The 24,503-nt window shown below is 32.9% G+C and overlaps 1 protein-coding gene across 38 annotated transcripts in view, besides 1 other annotated feature; it reads left to right on the top strand.

Annotated features, from left to right (window-relative positions):
• PTPRD (protein tyrosine phosphatase receptor type D) overlaps window positions 1–24,503 on the top strand; it is a 2,298,757-nt gene that overhangs the window by 1,328,945 nt on the left and 945,309 nt on the right. The gene's annotated exons all lie outside the window — the stretch shown is intronic.
• Window positions 8,075–8,369: a silencer, noted in NCBI's record as "tiled region #1388; HepG2 Repressive non-DNase unmatched - State 24:Quies". NCBI's record gives its function as "represses a minimal TATA promoter and a strong SV40 promoter by Sharpr-MPRA in HepG2 cells {active_cell/tissue: HepG2}" and the evidence as "EXISTENCE:reporter gene assay evidence [ECO:0000049][PMID:27701403]".

The raw sequence follows: 24,503 nt of genomic DNA, 5'->3' as shown, positions 1-24,503 counted from the left end.
ATATTGTATTGACTTTAAAATACCAAGGAATCTACTAGGACATGCCAGGAAGATTATAACGTGGTTGAGTTATTTTTCCAGATGCAAAACCTGGTTGTTTATGAAAAGTCACAAAACCTAAGAAAGATTGAATATAGTGAACGAAATTATAATTATTTCTTGATTATTAGTTTTCCTCTGCGTAAGTATATTGAACAAGGAAACATGAGGTACTCAGAATTATTCAGTTTGGGCTATTTATCACACAGGGTCAATATACATCTAGCACATTCACTATGATTAATGCAGTCCAATTAGAGAGATATATGTAGGCAGCAGCAAGACTCATTTCATGGTAAAGAGAAACAATTTTTTATTTTTTTTCCAGCCCCAGTCAACTTTTTTTTGTTCAATAATAAATCTCAAATGCAGTTCACTTAATTGAACCAAATGGTCATGAGGAAAAGGCAGCTGCAGACTTATACTAAGCAGATAGCTTTGAGGAACACTGTCATTTTTCTATTTGTTCTATCACTAGTGATAATTGGGCTTACTTCCTAGCAGTTGGATACTTTCTGTAAAAAAGAAAATATAAAGCTAAAATTATAGACATTATGCTGTGCCTGAAAGAGAAAAGAAATGAGAAGATATAATTGAACCTGTAAAGGGTTCATTTGTAGATGGGACATTTCCTCCTGGGAAATGAAAGATCTCACAGTAATACAATGAATATACTTCTGATTTATGGTAATTAATTCTGAATGTGGGTTATCTACCACATTGCTCTCTATAGAAGATGAATTGTACAACTAAATTATCAGGGTCTTGGAAGTAAAATTAGCATAACCTTAACAGAAAGTGAAGTTTTGTACCTCATCTTCACATAGAAAGCATAGATCAAGCCATCCTGTCTTATTTCACTGCCCAGAGGTCCAATTATAAAAAGGAAATGAAGCAAAGAAGGAACAGCTTTCCTATGTATTCTTCCATGACATGAGTTTTTTTGGTTATCACACCAAGTTTAGGGGAAGATTGAGATACCTTCACTCCATTAATTCTGACCTCAAGATAAGAGTCAGATGAGAGTGGATATTGTCCCCTGTGGAAGAATGTTTCTTCATACCTAGATTTGGAATAGAATAGTGTAATCTAACATATTGAAAGGTTCACATAACTAACTCTATAAAAATGACAACTTATAATGTGCTCCTAACAGAAATTTTGGAGCCACCTTGCTTGAATTTGTATGCCACTTAATCTTGAACAGTTTATTAGGGCTTTAACCACAATTATTGACTGTATCAGAGCTGCAAAACTCACCTTTAACATTTAGCCTCCAGCTATTTCTAAAGGAAAGTAAACAACAATTGTCCACTTTCATTCTCTCTTTGAACTGCTAAGTAGTAAGTTAGTTCAGTCAAAATGCTAAAATCAGTGGGCTTAAAGAAATAGTTACAAAATAATCAATACCATCTATTCAGGAAAGCAAACTGTGGGGTCATTTATGCAGTCAGAATCAAACCTAGGAACTGAATTTATACAAATTTAAATACTCACATAAACAAGAGCAGAAAAACTAAAACCATCTGAATTTTTCCTAATATTCAAGATTTAGCATCCAATAGAATAATTTCTGAATTTCACTGTTTATTTCATTTCAGTCATCTGCTATTAGAAGGTATTTCTTAGAGCAGATTTTAAGGTTCATAGCAAACTTCAGATGAAGAAATACAGATTGCCCCCCAAACCTCTGCATGCACACCTACATATCCTGCCCCATTATCAACATCCCCCAACAGAATGGTACATTTGGTAGCATCAATGAGCCTACATTGAAACATTATTACCCAACTTTGGATGTCTGCATTCTATGGGTTTTGAAAAAATGTATAATGGCATGTGTCCACCATTACAGTCTCATATAGGGTAGTTTCACTTACCTAAAAGTCCTCTATACTTCACCTATTCATTCTTCCTTCCTTACTCTGGGTAACTATTGATACTTTTACTATTTTCATACTTTGTCTCTTCTAGAAATTTATATAGGTGGAATAATTCAGGATGTAGCTTTTCAGATTGGCTTCTTTCACTTAGTAATATGCATTTATGGTTTCTCCATGTTTTTTCATGGCTTGATAACTCATGTTGAATAATATTTTAGTGCTGAATAATATTTCATCATCTGGATATACTACAGTTTATCCATTCATCTACCGTAGGGTATCTTGATTGCTTTCAAGTTTTTTTTTTGCCATTATGAGCAAAGCTGTTACGAATATTCATGTGCTCATTTTTGTGTGGACATAAGTTTTCAACTTACTTGAGTAAATACAAAGGAGTGTGATTGTGAGATTATATGGTAAGAATATGTTTAGTTCTGTAAGAAACTGCCACACTGTTTTTCTAAGTGGCTGTACCATTTTGCATTCCCACCACAATAAATGAGAATTCCTGCTGTTCCACATCCTTACCAGAATTTTGTGTTGTTAATATTTTGCATTGTGGACACTCTAATATAGGTGTGTAGTAATATTTCATTGTTGTTTTAATTTGCAATTTCCTAAGGACCTATGATGTTAAAAGATTTTTCATATATCTATTAGCTATCTTCATGTCTTCTTTATCAAGGCTGTGTTAAAGTATTTTGTCCATTTTTTCAATCAGGTTTTTGGTTTCTTATGTTGAATTTTAAAAGTTGTTTGCATATTTTGAATAACAGTCTTTTATTAGATGTCTTTTGCAAATGTTTTCTCCCAGTTTGTGGCTTGTCTTCTCATTCTTTTGGGTTTTGCAGAGCAGAAGTATTTAATTTCAGTGAGGCCCAGACTATCAATTATTTATTTCACTGATCATACCTTAATGTATATAAAAAGCCATCACCATACCTAAGGTCATTCAGATTTTCTCCTATGTTATTTTCTACTCATTATACAGTTCTGCATTTTAATTTTAGGTCTATGTTTGCTTTTGAGTCCATTTATGGGAGCAGTGTAGGATCTGTATATAAATTCTTTTTTTAATGTGCGTATTCAGTTGTTCCAGCACTAAGACTATTTTTTCTCTATTGTATTGCCTTTGATTTTTTGTCAAAAATTACTTGATTATGTGTATGTGGATCTACTTCTTGGCTCTCTTTTCTGTTCCATTGATCTATTTGTCTGTCATTTTGCCAATAGCTACACTGTCTTGATAACTAGCTTTATAGGAAGTCTCGAAGTCGGATATGTCAGCCCTCCACCTTTTCCTTCAATATTGTGTTGACTATTCTGGGTCTTTTGCCACTTCATATAAACTTTACAATCAGTTTGTCAATATTCACAAAATGAGTTATTGAGATTTTTATTAGGATTGTATTAAGTCTATAAATCAAGTTAGGAAGAACTGAAATCCTGACATTAATGAGTCTTCTTATTCATTAACATGAAATATCTTTCCATTTGTTTAGTTCTTCTTTGATATTTTTTATCAAAGTTTTATAGTTTTCCTGATATGGATCTTATACATATTTTGTTAGATTTATGCTTAACTATTCCATTTTTGTGTGTGCTAAAATAAATGGTAATGTGTTTTCAATCTCAAATTCCACTTTTTCATTGTTGGTATATAAAAGTAACTAATTTTTATAAATTAGTCTTATATTCTGCAACCTTTCAATAATCACTTACTGGTTTCAGGAAGAGTTTTTTTGTAGATTATTTTGGATTTTCTGAATTATCATTTTTAGTTATTCAGTTATATGTTATATTTCCCTATTCCTTATTTCTTTCATATGTACAATTAATTCAGTGTCAGAATGTAGCTTGTTGGGTTCCAGAATTATACTCTACAAGTCACTCCGTCTTAGTACATGCCTTCACAATATGGATTCTCCACTTAAGTCTCAGCCTTATTCATGTAGAAATAATTGACACTCATAAGGGCCATGAGAGTATTTGTCATGTGCAGATTTTCTCAGACCCCAGGCAAGGGCATACTGCTCCTACTCATGCAGCCCCTTATAGTACCACACTTTGTAAAACAGTTTTTGCTATGCTAAAGCATTGTTTGTAATTGCGGTACATTGGAAACAACCCAATAACCTATCAATATAGAAACAGTCAATTAAATTTTTGAGCTTCCACAACCTGAAAAATATATAAATGTTTTTTAAATGAGGCAAATGTATATATTCTATACATTTTAAAAAGTAGAGTGGCGTGAGTGAATTTTATCTCTTATACTGAATGTATAAGTATGACCATAGTTTTAAAATAAAAAAGTTGGACATTAACACATATTAAACTATATAGAAAAGTTTGAGGAGAGTAATATTGCATGCTCTTATTTGTAGTTACTCCAGGGTTAGATAGAAGGCAAATGGAGAGATGAGGGGAATTTTTATTTTTATATAAAATATTAATAATTAAGTTTTTAAACATTCTCTTCTTGAAAACAGGAAAATAAATTTAATGGTCTTTACAGTTACCTTTTAGTGAAATCCCATGCTTTGTAATATTGTCTGCAATAGAAATACTGACTTTTACAAAAACGAAATTTAAAAAAGAATATGTGAATGAAGTTTATGAGTATCTTATGCTTTTTAAATTGTTCTATATATCATTAAGAAAGGGAAAAGAAGGATTTGCATATGGCTTTATCTTCTAGCATCATACCAGTAGCACCGAATGCATTCTTTAAAGTGTTATATCTATCTATTGCCAGCAGCAGTGATATATTTAGATATATATATATATATAAATTTAGGTATATATATATCTGTATATATGCATGTGTATATGATTATATATATAACATCTGTGTATATATATGTACACATTCTTCATTCACATATTCTTATATAGATATATGCATATATGTATATCTGGATGTATATAATCATATACACATACATATATACATACAAAATTATCTTAACACCTGCCTATTATTTGAAAATGAAACAGTTGACATTTTGAGCATGGCACAAAAATATGGACAGAGGTAAGCTTTTTTATTAAACATTACTTTCTTAGGTAACTATTGATATGATATATCCCCTTGACTCTATAAATAAATTAATATATAGTTTTCCGGACAGGTTATTGTTCAAGTAAAACTGAGGTTTATTTTGTGACACAAAAACAATGAGCAGAGAAAAGAGATGTAGTAAAGCATATCTGACCTGGCAGATTATTATACAAATTCTCTGCTCTAATCAAAATGCTGTGTGTGTTTGTGTATGTGTAGATGAATAGTGAGAGAGAGGAAAAAACACAATATTAGATATACCTACTATATCCCAGGCAGATATTTAATCCTCACAATAACACTTGAAAGTAAACGTTATTAACTGCATGTTCTAGATGAGAAAATGAAAACTCAGAGAATTCCGCAGGTCTGACTGACACTAAAATGTCTGGGACTTTTCATAGATGTTGTATAGGCAGGCCAACCACATACTGTAATGTTGCCCTCTGTCTGTACAAGTATCACCTCTCTACTCAGAGTGAGGTCCTACTTATTCTACAGCCAGGCTCTTAACTTTTCCCAAATCCCTCATCTGACGTTAAAATATACATATCCTCAATTTAGTACAGTATCCTATTGGGCACTTAATTTTAATAAAGTAAACTTCTCTAAGTGGCTTACAAATGTATCTTCTCATATATTATTTTAGGACCATTTTATTTGTTATAAAAATCTTAAAATTTTATAAGGCTGTGTAGTGAATTTCCCACTGTATATAAGAATACAGTCAGCTACACGCCTATAATTAGTACACCATTCAATTTGACAGCCATAATAATAATAAAAGATTCTGAAAATGCCAGTCTATTAAAAGGAATAAATACCTAATTGCAAGATTTCTGGCATGAGAGATAACCGGTTAAACAAATAATTTATGACATGATCTCTTATTTGTTGCCCTCAGATCATAGTATATTGGTTACTACTTGTTTATTATTTTTTATTTGAATAAAATGTCTAATTCTATGTCAAATCGTGGAAAGCATACAACCACCTTTAATAGCATATATTGCAGCACATGTTAAGAACTCTTATTTATTAACACTTTAGTGAAAGTTAATGTAATTAGTTTTATGAATATGAGGTAACATATTTCTTCCACCTGGTTGTCCTAAAATTATCCTTTCAATGAAAAAATATTTTATCACTGGGCTCAGGTTTGGAAGGAATGTGTTATTAGCATTTCTTGTGAAAGATGTATGTTCTTAAGAAACACAATTTTCTGGATTTTACCATTTCCATATCATTTATAAAGTTTAGTTTGAGAGCCCACAATGGTACTTCCAAAAATGTTGGTAATGTAAAGTAATCAAACATGCCTGGAATATTCTTCAAAGGTTGGTTAAACATCTTATAAAAGTAATTAGCAAATCCATCTGGACCAGGGGCTTTTCCAGATGGGAAACTTTCATTACTACCCATCATTTTCCATAGTTTATTATAGGTATAGTTTTATTTTGAGAGGGTCACAGATAGATGTGTATAATAAATAAAGCAACAAAATTGTTTAATATTTGGGTAAGAGATCCTTCTGTATAATCATATATAAAAATTAAGCAATAGCATATTTCTGATGAGTCTGTGTTAACAGACTTTTTTATTTATATTATTCAGAAATATGTGTATTTTAAAATTTCAACGGAAAAAATTGTGATTATCCATTTCTTTAAAAATTACACAATGTTTTCTTTTACTTTTGCAGCTCTATCAATACCAGATAGTGAGATGTAACATCCTGAATATATGAAGCTTCCTAAAAATGTTAAATTCTTACAGATTGGCATTTTAAGACACAACCATACTGAATGAACTGGTAGAGAAAGAATATTCAAAAACATAGGGAATCAACTGTTTGAATATTTGTTCAATTAAATTTAACAAATATTTCTGAATCCTTATTTTAAGCCTGGCATTGTTATAGGTACAAATAAAAATATAAAGTATGTAAAATAGTAGTTTAGGAGAGGAGATAAAAATATAGACAAGGGATTGAATTGTAGCTTGACAAGTGAGGTAAAAGAGCATGTACTAGATACAGTAGTGGCGAAAGCAGGGGTGCTCTACTTTTCTTGGATTTGGTAAGAAGCTCTACAGATGCAGAGATGCTGAAAATGCTGTCCTGGCATTTGTGAAGGAAGTAACTTTCCAGGCAAAAGGAACTGCATGAGTAGAGACACAGAGCACGACACATCAAGAGGCAAATGGCCTCTCTTTGTTTATGATGGCAATAAAATATTGACTTTCCCCACATAGTTAGTGAAATATAGAATTAGGAACTTAAAAAGAATACGTCATAGCCCCCTTACACCAAGAAAGAGAACATGCCCTAAAGAAATTAGGCTCTTTTGGCCTTAGCACCATTTTCTCAGAAACTTCTGCTCCATGAGAGCCAAGTGGAGAAAGAGGTACATGTGTAGATTAAAGCACAAAAGAAGAAAGATGAAGCTGAGATCCAAGTAAATTGCCAGCATGTGCTCTCATGGAGGTCACAGGAGCAGAATATGGCATGCCAGTGACTGAGGACGATGATACAAGTTGTTGGACTGCATGCTGCTCTAGAGGTTGTCTCTCAATTGATCTAGAATTTCCATTGCCATCTAATTGCCAAGACCATCTCTGAGAAAACCACCTTGCCCATTACCAAAACAGTTCCTGTTGACCTTTGCCCCGGGCCTCTGATATTCTAGACTACATCTCTTCTCTTCTCAGTTGTTGCCAAGTGTAACATGTAATTACAAATTTGTAATAAAGAGCAATTATACAATATATTATTTCTTCTGCTCTCTTAGTTAAAGAATCAAACAGACAGGAGAAGACAGAAATCAGCACACTAGGGGCTTTAATCTGAAAATGACTGATGTGAGTCTTCATCAGATTCAAAAAATTCATTCAAATGAATGTCCCCAATGAAATTACTAAACAGGCCAAAATGTGCCACTGACGGGACTTTACTTAAGGCTTGAAATGTTAGCTGGGGTTAAGCAACATTAGACAAGGACATTTAGCTGAGCTATAACCTACTTTCCCTCTAGGGCTGAGATGATGTCTTTTATTATCCCGAGAAATTTGTTATAATAAATTCGGTTGAGGTGTTCTCTTCTCCATTTCTTTTCTTCCCCTAGAGCATAAGGCACGGTTGGTTTACACAGCTCAATCTCCTTCACGGCCTGGGGACATTCTAGTATAGTAGAAGAATCCTTCTTTTATAGAAACACACACACACACACACACACACACATACACACACACACAGCTGTTTCGCTCACTGTTGTCAGAAGCAACTTGTTCTAAAGGGAGGGAGGTGAGTAATGAGTGCCTGCACTAATTCACACTTTAAAGAGGACACAGATGAGTCATTTGAATACATTTTAGTGTTGGCCTTCAAATAGCAGCCTACCCAGACTTAGAAAGACAATATTCTGGGGGCAGCAGCCCTTGTCTTAGGGACCAAAGTCATCCTACAGTTCAAGCCAATGGTCTAGACCAACCTAAGCAGAAAGCATAATCTAGGCTCTTACCAGCCAACCTTGGCTAATGGAACCTGTTGCAGAACAGACAGACATGGGTTCCAAGACTGAGATATGTAAGATCAGGAAAATAGTTTCACCCTCTTCGGGTGGGTCCAGAGATATTTTCAATCTCACAGCCCCTCTGCACTGAATGCAGGTGACTCTGAGCCATTTTGAGGGAAATACATACATACACAAAGGACATTTTACAATATAAGTTTTTTCTGAGAATAACTTTCAACTGACCTTCCCTCACTATTTTAAATTGGCAAAACTGATGATCAAGAAGAGTCACAGATAGATACTTTCCCAATTCAAATTCAAAGAGCATGAAATGCTAATGGTTATATATATATATATATAATATATATATATATAACATATATATTATATATATGTTATATATATAATATATTATATATATATTATATATAATATATATAATATATATATAATATATTATATATATAACATATATATTATATATATATATATAATATATATATACATATATATATGGAAACAAAGGGATTTTGATGGTCCAATCAGTTTGAAGAAAGTTTGAGTTAAACAAATTAAATAAATTAGATTGCAAGACTTCTCAAAGACTTTTTTCATGTTTATTAAAATCTTGAATCTCTAAGAAAGATATGTAATGGTGACTATTTCCCAAATTATTTACGAGTAGAATCATTCCTATCTAAACCTATATGAATATCTCACTGAAGACTAGTGTTCTGTGGACTGAGAGATGCTGGTTTAATAATAAAAATAATAGCTAATATTCACAAAATTTGAATTCTGTGTGTCTTAAGTCAGCTCCAGGAATATGTATTTTAAGACACCAATTATTCTACTTGCACAAATTGTGGGTATAAACCAAGAGCAACCTCTGACAAAAGAATATGTTCAAGTTCTTTCAATTTAGGGCCAGAGGGTGGAAAAAGAAAAGTTGGATGAAGACATTTTTGGGAGTTCTCCAAATTTCAAACAGTAGAAAAAGTTGGTAGTGGCAAGAGTTGGGATAGATAAGCTCCATAAGGGCCCCTGATAAATGAGACTCATCCTTGGAAGTATAATACCTTAAGTCTTTATAATTTGCCATCTTGGTTGTAGCATAATCTGTTCCAATATAGTCTGATAATAATTGGTTGAGTATCTATTTATGCAGACATTTACCACAAATGATTTAAAGTTGTGGGTGGAGAAAGACGTGAATGCATGCTGTACTTGTTTGGGAGAGGTTTGAAAACATAAGCGTAAAGCATATAAGTAACAGAACGGAGAAAGTCACATGTGAAGCAAACATAGTAAAACACAAGACTGTGTATATGTTATACCATGTACAAGGTGAAAGAATGAGTATGGCAGGGAGAAAGTGTGGAGGCTCTGTGGAAGAGGTAGGATTTGAGCACAGCTGTGAAGAAGCAGGAAGACTTGGACAGAAGGAGGACATCCAAGTGAAAGAGAGAATTTTAAAAAAATAGTATACAGGGAGAGAAGTGCAAGACCTGTTCATAAAAGAGGCAGTTTCATTTTGTTGGATTATAGGATCATAGGAGGATGTGGCAGGATGTAAGGTAGAAAAAAATAGGTTGATTACAGATCAAAGAGGATCTTGAATATCATATTGAAGTCTATGAAATTTCCTTTATAGATATTGACAAACCTCTGGAAGGTTTGGCGAATGTTCTTGTAAGGAATAAAATAAGAAGACTGAATGATGAACAAGAATGGGTCAAAACTCCTAGTCAGATTTGCAGTGGAGGATGAGACCTCATTATAATCTCTTACTTCCACCTGTGCAAATCATTAGCTGACAGCTCAAATGTCAATCCATGTGGAGTCACTCAGAGCTAGGTTAACCCACTGGGTCATATGGAAACTTTTTATTTCTATGGAATAGAGTCAGCCTGGGTAGACACTCTAGAGTACATGCTATACATTTTGAAGACTTCTGATATCTGCAGTGAAGAAAACATTAAAATGTTTTCACAGTTCTCTGTTTTTAAAGAAAATTCCATTAGAATAGTAAATAAACCCAACTTTATCTTCTATATTTAATGTACACTATATAAGAAAGATAAAAGGCAGTTTATGTATTTTAAAGTTCTGCTCAATATCTGCTATATGTATGTATATATACATACAGACACAGAGAGAGCTATTTCAAGAAGTAGCTGCACAGCTTCACAATTTTAATAATTATTTTTGTCATACTGTTGTGGCAGAGGATCTCAAATTCTATTCCTTAGTGACTCAGCGATTGTTTCACAGTGCTGTTAGGCCAAAATAAATGCCTGATAGTTCCATTTATTTGGTAGTTAGGTCTCAAAAACTCAATAAGAATTTACTAGCAACTTGGAAATCATTTTTGCCATATATTGACATAATAATATTTCTATTCTTAAATAAGCATGGTCACTTAACAATGGAATGCATGAAGATGTTGGATATTGTACATCTTCTAATGCACAAAACTCAAATTCAAATTTGCCACTGCTACTGTTATTTCCTGCTCCACATTGATTTTCATGTGGTGTTTCTTTTATCCATAGAAATCACAAAGACAGCTTCACAACAAATATTGACATTATCTAAAGGCATATAGCGCTATCTAATGTTGAAACTATAAATTACCTCAAGCTTGTATGTGCAGTGTTGCTGTTTCCCCTGAAAATATTAAATATTTCAGGGCACTTCTTTGAGCTCACTGCATCACCACAGAATATCTTGGCACAGAGTTTGGAGAACATGGCCATAGTGCTTGCTTTTGAACACCTGGTTTTAGGACATGAAAGTGGCAGGTAGGGAAAGAAGGAATAACGTGTGTCAAAAAACAAGAAACTGACTTCTGAACAAGGAGTAATAAGAGTAGGCAGTCTGGTGACAGAAAAGTCTCAAAATGTTTATGGCTAAAAAACAATTTGAGGCTCAAATACATGCAAATAATATTTTTCGTCAACGGACCACTACAGCAAAGATAATGGCATCAGATGACCGCCCTTCGCCCCCATTTAAAGTTGTCCTTAAATACCTTTCTTATTCCACCAAGTTTGGCTCAGTCCCTGTGATCAGGATCGGGGGATGTGTGATTAAGAGGTCTTTGTAAATTCCCGCTAATATTAAGTCAGTACCCAACAGTACTGCTTGTAGTTAAATAGTAGTTTCAAAATTTTGGAAATATTTTGGATTTCACAAGAGAAGATTTTTTAACTTTCAATTTATTTTTTTAATGAAGTTCATTTTCTTTTAGTCTAATTCCGACATTTAAAATTAAAGTGTGCCTGCATATCAATCTCTCAGTGACTGCCTTTAAAAATGATTTTTAAAAGCCCACATATCAGAGTAATTTCTTTCATTACATAAACGACCCTCTGGGGTATGCAGTTTCAAGTATATTTTGGGAAGGATACACTGCAGACTTTTAGAACTTGTGACCAACTTTTAATTCTCTGACAGTCTCAGCAGGCAGTATGGGGTGGGGGGAATTGCTGTCAAAAAAAAAAGTTTTGACTTTAAAAAACTCCATTCTTCACCTCATCTATGCTAACCTGCTTCTGTCATAAAGTGCTACAACCTCATGAAAGAAATAATAATGCAATATAGCAGATTTGTATCTCTATAAACAATGAAGTTTCTCAATTATGCAGAAACCTTTAAGGAACTGCTGCTATTTTTCCGTATGTATATTTGATAATTTTTATTTTTGGAATTTTGAACTTCTTATACCTTTGAATATAATAGAAGAAGTAACACAATCAAACCCTAAATTTCTTCTTTTTTTAAAATCCATGAATTCTATTTGATGTTAGTCTCAGAAAAAACATTTTCACAGATTGAGAAGGTGTTTGATTATAAAAGGTCAAGGCAAAATACCAACATATTTAACCAATACATTTTTGCAGACTGTTTATAGAAATTCTCTGAGTTGCATAGCAACAGGCTTTTTAACTACTACTTGCTATCCAGATTTTAATAATTTAATTAGTGTATTTTGCTTCATTAAATTGCTATATTTAATAGATTAAATGAATTCAATTCATAGCATGTTTTAAATGGATTTTTTACCACTTGCTGTGCAAGTAAGAATATGAACTGTATTTATCTTCTATTCAGATGCAACATAACAGGAATGAAATGGGGGATTTTTGGTTATAACTGGTCTGATCTGAAAGATAAATAGTTAATTAGAAGTTTGGAGAAGGTGAACGTACTTTTCCAAATTATACCATGTTCAGAAAGATGAGAAAGTTCACAGATGTTTTTTTTTTTTAAGATGAGAAAAATAAGTTTGAAGGAAAAAAATACTCTCAATGCTTTGTAATAGTTTTGAAAGTTGGCTTCATGAAGTTTCTAGTTAGGGAATAACTATAAATTGAGATGTATGACTAATCTTTGAAGAGTGGCTTTCTTTTTTCTAATTCTAATATGTAATTTAGAGTTTCAGGCTTCATATCAGCAGCATATCTTAGTAGCCCAATCGGTCCTCCTTATCTCCACCTGGAAGCCGCATAAGCACTTTAAACTTAACATGATCAAAATAGAACCCTTTATCCCCAACCCTCAAAGCTTTTATCTCACCGTCTTCTTTATATTAATAAGTTAATCCAGTGTTTATGCAAGTACTCCAGGCAATAATTCGAAGAGTGTTCTTTGATTCCTCCTATCCCTACACCCCCCGATATCTATTCCATTAATGAGTTCTATTGGTTCTACCCTTAAAATGTGTGTGAATCCTGTTAACTTTTCTCCACCTTTTCTGCTGCCTAGCTAGACCAAACACCATCATCTAAAGATACCATCATGTCAAAGTGCTCTCTCTAAATCCATTGATCTTTCTGCATACCATTCTACACACAGTAGCCAATGAAATCTTTCTATAACATAAATAAGATCATGGGATCCCCTAAATAACTTCTATGGCTCTTCTTTTGCACTTAGAATCAAATTTTTCCTGGAATCCTTGCCCTGACCTGATCTTTCCTAACTCACCAGCATGAGCACATTATACTCTGTAGTTCACACTCAGCCACGTCAGCCTTCCATTGTTTCCTTGACTGTTCTAAGCCCTTCACCACCTCAGCACTTTGTTACATGCACTTCTTGCTGCCTGGAACGCTCTTTCTGCCCTTTTTCCCAACATTGGCTTGCTCTTATTCTTCATATTTTTAGCATAAATGCCACATTTACAGAGAGGCTTTCTCTACATTCTTGTCTAAATATTTTCATGTTCTTTTCCCTTATTTCTCTTTATGTCATCAGTGATTATTTCTGTCACAGCAATTATCACAAATGTTACTTATTTATTTAATATTTTCCCCTAGCTTTATAAAGGCATAATTGAAAATAATAATTGTTCATATTTAATGTGTGCAACGTGATGTTTTGTTTTACGTATAATTTGTGAAATGATGACCACAATTAAGCTACCTAACATATCTATCAACTCACCTAGTTACCTTTTTGTATATGGTGAGAATACATCAGATCTAATTTCTTAGCAAATTTCCAGTATATAACACATTATTAACATGTTATAGTAATATTATATAGTAACAAAATAAATTATTAATTTTATTAATTAATATTATATTAAATCGATATTAACTATAGTCACCATGCTGTACGTTAGGTCTCCCGAGCCTATTCGCCTTCTAACTGAAAGTTTGTACCCTTTGACCAACATCTCCCTGTTTCCCCAACCACCCCCAACCTCAGGTTACCATCCTTCTACTCTCTGTTCCTATTAGTTATCTTTTTTAGATTGCATGTATAAGTGGAATCATGCAGTATTTTTCTTTCTATGTCCAGCTAATTTCACTCAGTAAAATGTGTTCCAGGTTCATCCATATTATCACAAATAGCAGGATTTTCTTATTTCTTAATGCTGAATAATGTTTACATACACACACATACACACCGACCACATTTTCTTTATACATTCATCTGTAAATGAACACTTATATTTTATCTTGACTATTGGAAAAAATGCTGTGATCAACATGGAAGTACAGATATTTCTCTGAGATCTCAATTTTATTTATTTAGGAGATGTGCCCAGAAGTGGGATTGCTGGATCATATGGTAGTCTTATTTTTATTTTTTTTGAGGAACCTCCATATTGTTTTCATAGTGGCTGTACAACTTTACATTCCTACCAACAATGCATAAGGATTCTTTTTTTTCCACACTCTCACCAGCACTTATCTTTTAACTTTTTGCTAATGGCCATCCTAACGGGTGTGAGGTGATATCTTATTGTGGTTTTGATTTGCGTGTTTCCGATGATTGATGATGTTGAGCACTGTCTCATATGCCTATTAACCATTTCATAACCTGAAAATGTCTGTTCAGGTTCTTTGATAATTTTTTAAATAAGGTTATTTAGCTTTATTGTTGTTGAGTTGTATGGGTTCCATGTATATTTTGGATATTAAACCATTATTAAATATGTGGTTTGCAGATATTTTTTCCCATTCCGTAGATTTCCTTTTCATGTTGTTGATTGATTTCTTTGTTGTATAGAAACTTTTCAGCTTGATGTGTTTCCAGTTGTTTATTTTTGGTTTTTTTTTTGCCTGTGCTTTTCGGGTCATTTCCAGAAAATCGTTGCCCAGACCTGTGTCATGGAGCTTTTCTTCTATGTTTTCTTCTGGAATTCTATGGCTTTAGGTATTATGTCTTTAATCCATTTTGAGTTGAGTTTTGCTTGTGGTGTAATATAAAAAAAGAATTTCCTTTTTTTTTTTTTTGCTTGTGGATATCAAGTTTTCCTGGCACCATAATTGAAGACACTATCCTTTCTCCATTGTGTATTCTTGGCATCTTCATTGAAGATGAGTTGATGGTAAACATGGGTTTATTCCTGGGCTCTCTGTTCTCTTCTCTTTGTATGTTTGTTGTTATGCCCATATTATAGTGCTTTGATTGCTATAGGTTTTTATTATAATTTGAAATCAGGAATGTGATGCCTCCAGCTTTGTTCTTCTCAACCAAGTTTACTTCAGCTATTGGGAATCCTTTGTTATTCCAGATGAATTTTAAGATTCCTTTCTCTATTTCTGTGGAAAATGCCATTGGAACCTTGATTTAAAAAAATGCATTAAATCTGTATATCTCTTTGAGAAGTATGTTTTGACAATAATGATTTTTTTTTCAATCCATCACCACAGGCTATTTTTTTATATACTTGCGTTTTTTCCATTTCTTTCATCGATGTCTTATATTTTCATTATACAGATCTTTTACCTCCCTAGTTAAATTAATTCGTAAGTATTTTTATTCTTTTAATGCTGTTGTAAATAGGATTGTTTTCTTAATTTCTTTTCTTAAGAGTTCATTCTTAGTATACAGAAACAAAGCTGACTTTTTCGTGCTGATTTTTTATCCTGCGACTTCACTGAATTTATTAGTAACAGCTTTTTTTCATGGAGTCTTTAGGGTTTTCTATATATAAGATTATATCATCAAAAACAGAGACAATTTTTTCTTTTGATTTGGATGCCTTTTATTTCTTTTCTTGCCTGATTTCTCAGGCAAGAACTTCCAGTTTTATGTTGAATAGAAGTGGCGAGAGTGGACATCCTTGTCTTGTTCCTGATTTTAGAGGAAAAGCTTTTAACTTTTCACCACTGAAAATGACGTTAGCTATGGGCTGGTCAAATACAGCCTTTATAATGTTGAAGTATATTCCTTCTATATCTCATTTTTGGGTATAGCTTTTATCATAAAAATATGTTCAATTTTGTCAAATGCTTTTTTTTTGTCTATTGAAATGATATGATTTTTATAATTCATCCTGTTGATGTGGTATATCACATATATTGATTTATGTATGTTAAGCCATCCTTGCATTCCAGGGATAAATATCACTTGATCATGGTATATGATCCTTTTAATAAGCTATTGAATTCATTTTGCTGGTAATTTTTGAGAATTTTTTATCTATGCTCACCAGGGATATTGGCTTGTAATTTTCTTTCTTTGTAGTGTCCTTTTCTGGTTTGGTAAAAGGGAATACTGGCCTCATGAGTGTTTCCTTCAATTTCTTGTAACAATTTGAGAAGAGCTAGTGTTAATTCTGTTAAATGTTTGGTAGAATTCACCAGTGAGGCCATGAGGTCTTGGCCTTTCTTTTATGAGAGATTTTTAATTACTGATTCAATCTCCTTACTCATTATTAGACTGTTCAGGTTATCTATTTCTTCATTATTTATTGTTTGTGGATTGTATGTTTCCAGGAACATATCCATTTATGCTAGGTTACCAATTTGTTGATATTATTCAAATAGTTCCTTGTGAATCTTTGTATTTCTGTATACCAATTGTAATGTCTCTTCTTTCATTTCTGATTTTATTTGAGTTTTTGCTCTTTATGTATTAACTGATAAATAATAATTGTACATATTCTTCAGTACATAGTGATGTTTCAATACATATAATGCGTGGTGATCCATCAGGGTAATTAGCATTTAAAACATTTATTCATTTATATTTCTTCATCACTCTAGCTAAAAGTTTGTTGATGTTCTTTTCTTTACAGAAAATGAACTCTTAGTTTTGTTGATATTTTTCTAATTTTTTGTAGTCTCTATTTCATTTATTTATGCTCTGAAATTTGTTATTTCCTTCCTTCTAACTTTGGCATTAGTTTTCTTTTTCTAGCTCCTTGAAGTGCAAAACTGGTTGCTTATTAAAGATTTTTTTTTTCTCCATTTAGGCATTTACTTCCATAAGCTTTTCTCCTAGAACTGCTTTGGCTACATTTTACGAGTTTTTATATGTTGTATTTTCATTTTCATTTGTCTCAAAATATTTTTTAAATTCCTTTTTGATACCTTCTTTTCCCTATTGGTTGTTCAGGGGTGTGCTGTTTAATTTCCATTTATTTAAACCTATTTATACTTAATTTTTACTTATTTACACCTTAATTTCCACTTATTTATACCACTTATTCTACTTATTTATTCACTTATTGATACCTAGTTTCATATCACGGTGGTCAGTGAAGATGCTTGATATAATTTCAGTTTGCTTAAATTTTCTAAGAGTTATTTTGTGACCTAATAAATGTTCTATCTTGGAGAATGTTCCATGTGTTCTTTGGAAGAATGTGTATTCTGCTACTGTTGGGTGAAGTGTTCTGTATATGTTTGTTAGGTCTACTTGGTCTAAAATGTAATTAAAATCCAGTATTCACTTTTTGTCTGGGTGATCTATTTATTGCTCAAAATGGGGTGTCAAAGTCCCCTACTATTATTCTATTGCTGTCATGTCTCCCTTAAGATGTGTTAATATTTGCTTTATATATGTAGGTACTTTAATACTGGGTGTGTATATGGCTACACACACATACACACGTTTAAAATTGCTACATCCTTTTGATGATTTGACCCTTTTATCATTATAAAATGACTTTCTTTGTCTTGTTTTACAATTTTTGACTTAAAGTCTATTTTGTCTCATTTACTTATAGTTACCCCTACCCCTTTCTTTTTGGATTTTATTTGCATACAATATCTTTATCAATCTATTCACCTTCACCTTATGTATGTCCTTAAAGCAGATGTGAGTTTCTTACAGACGGCATATAATTTGATCTTGTTTACTGAACCATTTAGCCACTCTGTCTTTTGATTGGAGAATGTAATTTATTTACATTTAAAGTCATTATTGATGGGTAAGAACTTACTGTTTCCATTTTACTTATGATTTCCTGGTTGTTTTATCAGTCCTTTATTTCTTTGTTCCTTTCTTTATTTTTTTTTATTGTTGTTGTTGTCTTTCCTTTTGATTAGATAATTTTTTGTAGTGGTGTGCTTTGAGTCTTTTCATCTTTTGTGTATATACTATAGATTCTTGCTTTTTTTTGTTAATCTGAGGCTTACATAAAAAATAGGATTAGACCGATCTATTTCAAGTTGATAACAACTTTACTTGCATTCAAAAATTCTACATTTTCATCTCCCTAGATACATGTCCTATTTTTTATGTCACAATTTACATCTTTTAAATTGCATATGTGTTTAATACTAGTGCTTTGGGAGGCCAACATAGAGGGATCACTTGAGGCCTGGAGTTTTAGACTAGCCTGGGCAACACAGCAAGACCCATATCTACAAAAAAAACAAAAACAAAAAAACGCTAGGTGTGGTGGTATGTGCCTGTAATCCTAGCTATTCAGTAGGGCAGCATCACTTCAGCCCAGGAGTTCAAGGCTGCAGTGAACTATGATTATGCCACTGCAGTCTGGCCTAGGTGACAGAATGAGATGCTATCTCTAAAAATAAATAAATAAACACAAGTCAATAAATTGCATATTCATTACCAAGTTATTGTAGCTATATTTATTTTCAATATTTTTGTCTTTTACCTTTTATACTAAAGTTAAAAATGATTTACATGCCACTATTACAGTAAAAGAATATTTTGTATTTTACTATATACTTACTTTAGTGAGTTAACTTGCATATGTTTTCATATTACTAATAGCATCCATTTGTTTCAGCTTAAAGAATATGCTTTAGCATTTCTTGTAAGCCAGGTCTAGTTGCGATGAACACCCTTAGCTTTTATTTGTCTGTGAAACTCTATCTTTTCTTTATTTCTGACGGACAGACAGCTTTAAAATATTCTTGGTTGGTAGGGTTTTTTTTTTTTTTCTTTCATCACTTTGAATACGTCATTCCACTTTCTCCTGGCCTGCAAGGCTTCTGCTGAAAAATCGGCTGATAATCTCATGGAGGATCTCTTGTTTATGACATACACAATTCTCTTGCTGCTTTAAAAATTATCTCTGTCTTTGATTTTTGACAGTTTTATTTTAATGTGTCTTGGTGAAATCTTATTTGCAGTGAACGTGATTGGAGACCTTTAAGCTTCACGTATCTGGATGTTTATACCTTTTCTTAGATTTGGAAAGGGTTCAGCCATTGTTTCTTTAAATAAGCTTTCTGCCTTTTTTCTCTCTCTCTTCTCCTTTTTGGACTCCTAAGATGTGAAATTTAGCTGTCTTGATAGTGTCCCATAAATCCCATAGGCTTTCTTTATTTTCTGTTATCTTTTAAAAATATTTTCTCCTCTTACTGAATATTTTCAAATGACCAGTGATTTCACAGAGTCTTTCTTCTACTTCATTAAGTATGCCTTTGACACTCTCTATTGCATTTTTTACTTCAATCCTGGTATTCTTCAGCACCAGAATTTGTTTGGTTCTTTGTTATGATTTCTATCTCTTTCTTTATTAAACTTCGGTCTTGTTGAGTTGTTTATCTGTGTTCTGTTATAACTCAGCAAGCTTCCTTAAAACAATTATTTTGAATTGTTGAGCAGTTCATAGATGTCCAATTCTTTTAGGTTGGATACTGAAATATTATTGTGTACCTTTGGGGGTGTCATATTACTTAATATTTTCATCGAAGTCTTGAAGTTTTTGCATTAAATCCTTGAAGTCTTCCATTGTGGTTATTGCATTTGAATAAGTGGTCACTTTTGCTAATCATTACTGACTGGCTTCAGGAAAGAAATACCTTCACCAAACAAACTGGTTAGGGTTTCTGAGGCTCTTTCCAAATTTTTCTATGGATGAGTCTCTTCCATATCTCTTGCTCTTCTTGGGAAACTATTCTTTATTTTCTTCAACTTTTAATTACAGGGGATTGATATGCAGGTTTGTTACATGGGTATATTGCACCCAGACACTGAGCATAGTAACTAATAGGTAGTTTTTCAACCCACATCCACCTCCCACCCTCCCTACTCAAGTGTCTGTGGTGTGTATTGTTCCCATGTTTATGCCTATGTGTGCTCATTGTTTAGTTCCCACCTATAAGTGAGAATATGCAGTATTTGTTTTTCATATTATTTAATATCTTCTGTGGCTAGCAGATGAAAATTTCAATATGATGACTTTAAACAGAAATGAACATCATTTGAAAGGAAGGGCATATTAATTAATTCAGGGAAAATTGGATATTTACTGTGATTCAGGCACCATACTAAGTACCAAGAATATAATGCTTTCATGAAGTTACATCAGATCAAAAACTACACAAAGGCTTTCTAAATGTAATTCAGGAATGGAATATGTAATTTTCTGTTCAATATGGTTATGTTACACTATTGACTGAAGGTAGAGAAATGTACTATCATCGTTCATTTATAGTCATTCAGTTGAACTAAACTGAGAAGGTGCTTTGATGAATGTTTTAGATGAGAAGAAGGTGGAAAAGACAATGTCTATTCCCTCAATTCTCCTATAGGAGATGTATTCAAAAAACATTTATAAAAAAAGACAAAAAATGATATGTACTTGTGAAACAGAATTAAAGTACATAATAAAAAGAGTCAAATCCTAATAATAATAAATTTGAATGATTTATTGGGATCATTTAAGAAAACAAGATTTCATTAGTCTGTCAAAATGTAACAGAGCCCCCAGAACTTGTGACTGTACTTTAATGTTTCACATATATTTCATGATAAATTAATTTTTTTACCCTGAGGATTAGCATTTCTATTAATCCCTTGGTATTATATGAAAGTGAAATTACATACAAATTATTATATGTATCAGATGTGTTTGCATTTGGCCAGGGTGGGAGTAGAAATGTTTTTACGTTTATGACACCAAAATTGTTAGGAACTCTAAGTAAGATGAATAATTTTTGAAAGCAGAGTCAACACAACATAGAAAACGGAAATTAATCAATGGTTAGATTTCATTTCAGGAAACCAAAGGGTATCTATCTAAGTCAATGATGCAAATTAATTGTTTTATGTATTCATATATGGAAAACTGATTACAATAAGAAACATGGCATTAAAAATAAGCAAACAAATTTCTGGATTCTGTTATAAAAGAACCTCTGATTTTTCTGTATATATCCTAGCTCTAGGAATCATTGACTAAGTGAATGATGATAGTAAGGATTCATCCATTTCTATACAAGGGCATTTTTTTTTACTCATTTATATTGAGGTCAATTTTGTAGCCCATTTCTGTATAAAAAGGCATATCTTGGACAATCAAGAGCTACACTGCCCAATATAGTAGCCTTTAGCTACATGTGACTATTGAGCATTCGAAATGTGACTGGTCCAAATTGAGATATACTTTAAATGTAAGTAAAATAAAATAAACACCAGGAAGATTTGGTATGGGGAAAAAAGCATGTAAACATTACATTAATATTTTTATATTGATTATATATTGAAATTGTACTATTTTTAGCATACCAGATTAAATAAAATATATTTTAAAGAAATTCATTGCCCCTGTCATTTTACTCTTTCTGATGTGTCTATGAGTAAAGTTTAAATTGTATTTGTGACTCATATTTTTACTAGACAGCATGGATCTAAGAAATATTTTTAAAAGAAGTATTTTTTATTCTAATATTGCTTTCATGACCCAGTCATTGTTTAAGTGTCCATTAAATCATAAGGGAATTACACTGTGGGACACCCCAGTATATATCTTGCCAGTGTTAATATTCCTTTTCCTCATATAAAGGAATTTAATATATTTTGCAAGAGGGCTTTGTAGAGTTCTATAATCTATACTGTTTAAAGTTATCCTCCTCCTTTAGTATATGATTTCCTTTCCTTTATCTGCAGGTAGGTCCATTTATTAGTAGGATGCCTTCCTGGGAAAATAATAGAAATGATAATTAAATAAGTGGTGATATTTACCTTTTTACAAAGTTTATTCTTTCTCACTTCCACTCCTTGCAGAGATAATGAAATTTAGTGAAATAACGAAGGAGCCACACTTAGCCAAAAACAGATATAGCTAGACTTTTCCAATGATCTTACTCAAGCTCTTCAAAATTGATTTATTATTTCCATTACAGTGCCTTGATTCACAACCCCTCTCCCTCCTGAACACACACACACACACACACACACACACGTGCATGCACATGCACACACGCACACACTCATTATTATTAGAGGTTTGCTTTCTACCAACCGCCACCCCTTCCCCCATTTTATCACAGGTGGCCTCTAAAAGTGAAAATCATTTATGCCATCCTTCTGGCAAAGACCAGTTCTTTTTCTCAGGCAAAGATAAAGTGTTCATTTTTATTGTCTCTCCCATTATGATACATTTATCTAAATGGAATTAATAAAGTACCTACCACAGATTTCCTTAGCTGATTGCTTACAAGTTTGAGAATGTTAATATTCAAGGACATTAAAATCGGAATAAAAGAAATTAGATCCTTTGAAATAGGAGGTATTTTAACGTGTGGTCCCATAAAATAAAATAAACATTCTAAAAAATGAAGCCTATAAACATCAGGAAGATGGATAAGTTGACACTTCATTTTGCATATCTCTGCTTAATAATATTATATTTCATTTCCCATGCTAAGAAAACAGCCATTACCCAAAGCAGCCACTCGTAAACAGGCCTTGTGAACAGATTGCATCCTTGTTGGTGGTATGATAATTGAAATAAGTTTTCTAGTCTTTTATGAGAAAATACCAGATGTATAAAATACCTATTAATCAACTCTCTTGCTTTTGCAAACATAAGTTTCAGTACCAATGGCTGTTAAAAAATGAAATGTACAATGAAAAAGAGGATTGCGAGAAAATACCAAAGAATTAGCTAAGTAATTCATCTTTGGGCTGTTTCTGAGTATCTGTTGATTGCAGGATGGAGCAGTAAAGTCATTACTTTGGATTTCTTGAAGAAAGACTTATGATTGTCATGCCTTGTATTTCTGCACGGTTTGTCCTAAAGAGAACAGGGTGGGAAAAAGTGATTGTCAGTGAGTACATGAAAAGTGTCGTCTACCATTTTATTTCACCCGCACTATTCTATTCTATTAATTGAAGTTTCCAATAAATATTTCTTTGTCTATCATCTTTTGTAACCATAATGTCTAGGATCACCACTTTACAATGCCGTCAAGCCAAGTCCCTCCCAGTTTCAACAACCCTATCCTACCTCACCCTACTCTTTCAAATGCAAATTAGAAAATGAGAAAATTGAGAGGGAATGAAAAAAGGTGATAGGAAGGAGGAGAGAAAAACTAGCCTAGAAAAAGCAGCGTTAAAATGACAAGAGGCGCTATTGTACATATATTGGCGAAAACTGTCTTAAACTATTTTTCCCTCAAGCAAAGGTAAAAGAAGTTGTTTCCCAGAGGTAGAAATAGGTAATTTTAATAAACGTGATTTCGGTTTTCTACTTGAATCATGATTTAATATAGTCAGTCCCTTTACAGTAGTCTTTGGAGTCAAGATCATGTGCCTCACTCTGATGGTCTTAATGTTTCCATATTTCAAGTTCAGGGCTTTAGCTGATGGAGTTTGCTTTTATTCAGCCCAGTGTTCTGGGTTAACTTGCCAGTTTTCTTTGCCCATTTTTACTTTTGAAAGTCAAGGATAAGATAATGTTATGTACATACCTAATTTACGTGTATAGCATTTATAGAAAATATATTTCACAATGTCATCTCAAAGCTCATAAAACAGTTTTTTGTCCCACAGACTTTTCTGGCATTCTCTCCATTATCTGACTGTTAAATTCTGCAGATTTAGGGCAAATATCAGGTTACTTGAGGCCTACTCGCCTTTCAGAAGTCACTAAGCATTGTCCAGCTAAGGCCACAAGGTTGATGCCGGCTTTCCTTAAACCCTCCTCGCATCACTTTTCCTAAGTTCATCTTCCCTAGATGCTCAGGAATCTCTGATTGCCCTTTGTTGGGACCTTAGGTCAGAGTTCTATCCTTCCTTCAGAAGACCATGTGTGCGAGTTGGTATACAGTTCTCCAAACCTTTCTTCTCCACCTGATCTGCGTTTACTATTACTGAAAGTTTATTGGTGATAATTGTCTGTAGTTTATACTTGACTTAAAGAGGGAAGCACTAATGGCAGCATCACTAAGTTTCCTGAAAGGTGAATGAAGGTGATACTTTCCCATGGGCTTTAGAGTTCTGGTAGTGTTCAATGACATACTTCAAATCAGATGTACTTCCTTTAATTTGGTT

Source organism: Homo sapiens, chromosome 9 (assembly GCF_000001405.40).
Source record: "Homo sapiens chromosome 9, GRCh38.p14 Primary Assembly".
NCBI lineage: Eukaryota > Metazoa > Chordata > Mammalia > Primates > Hominidae > Homo > Homo sapiens.
This window is presented reverse-complemented; position numbering and strand designations above follow the sequence as displayed.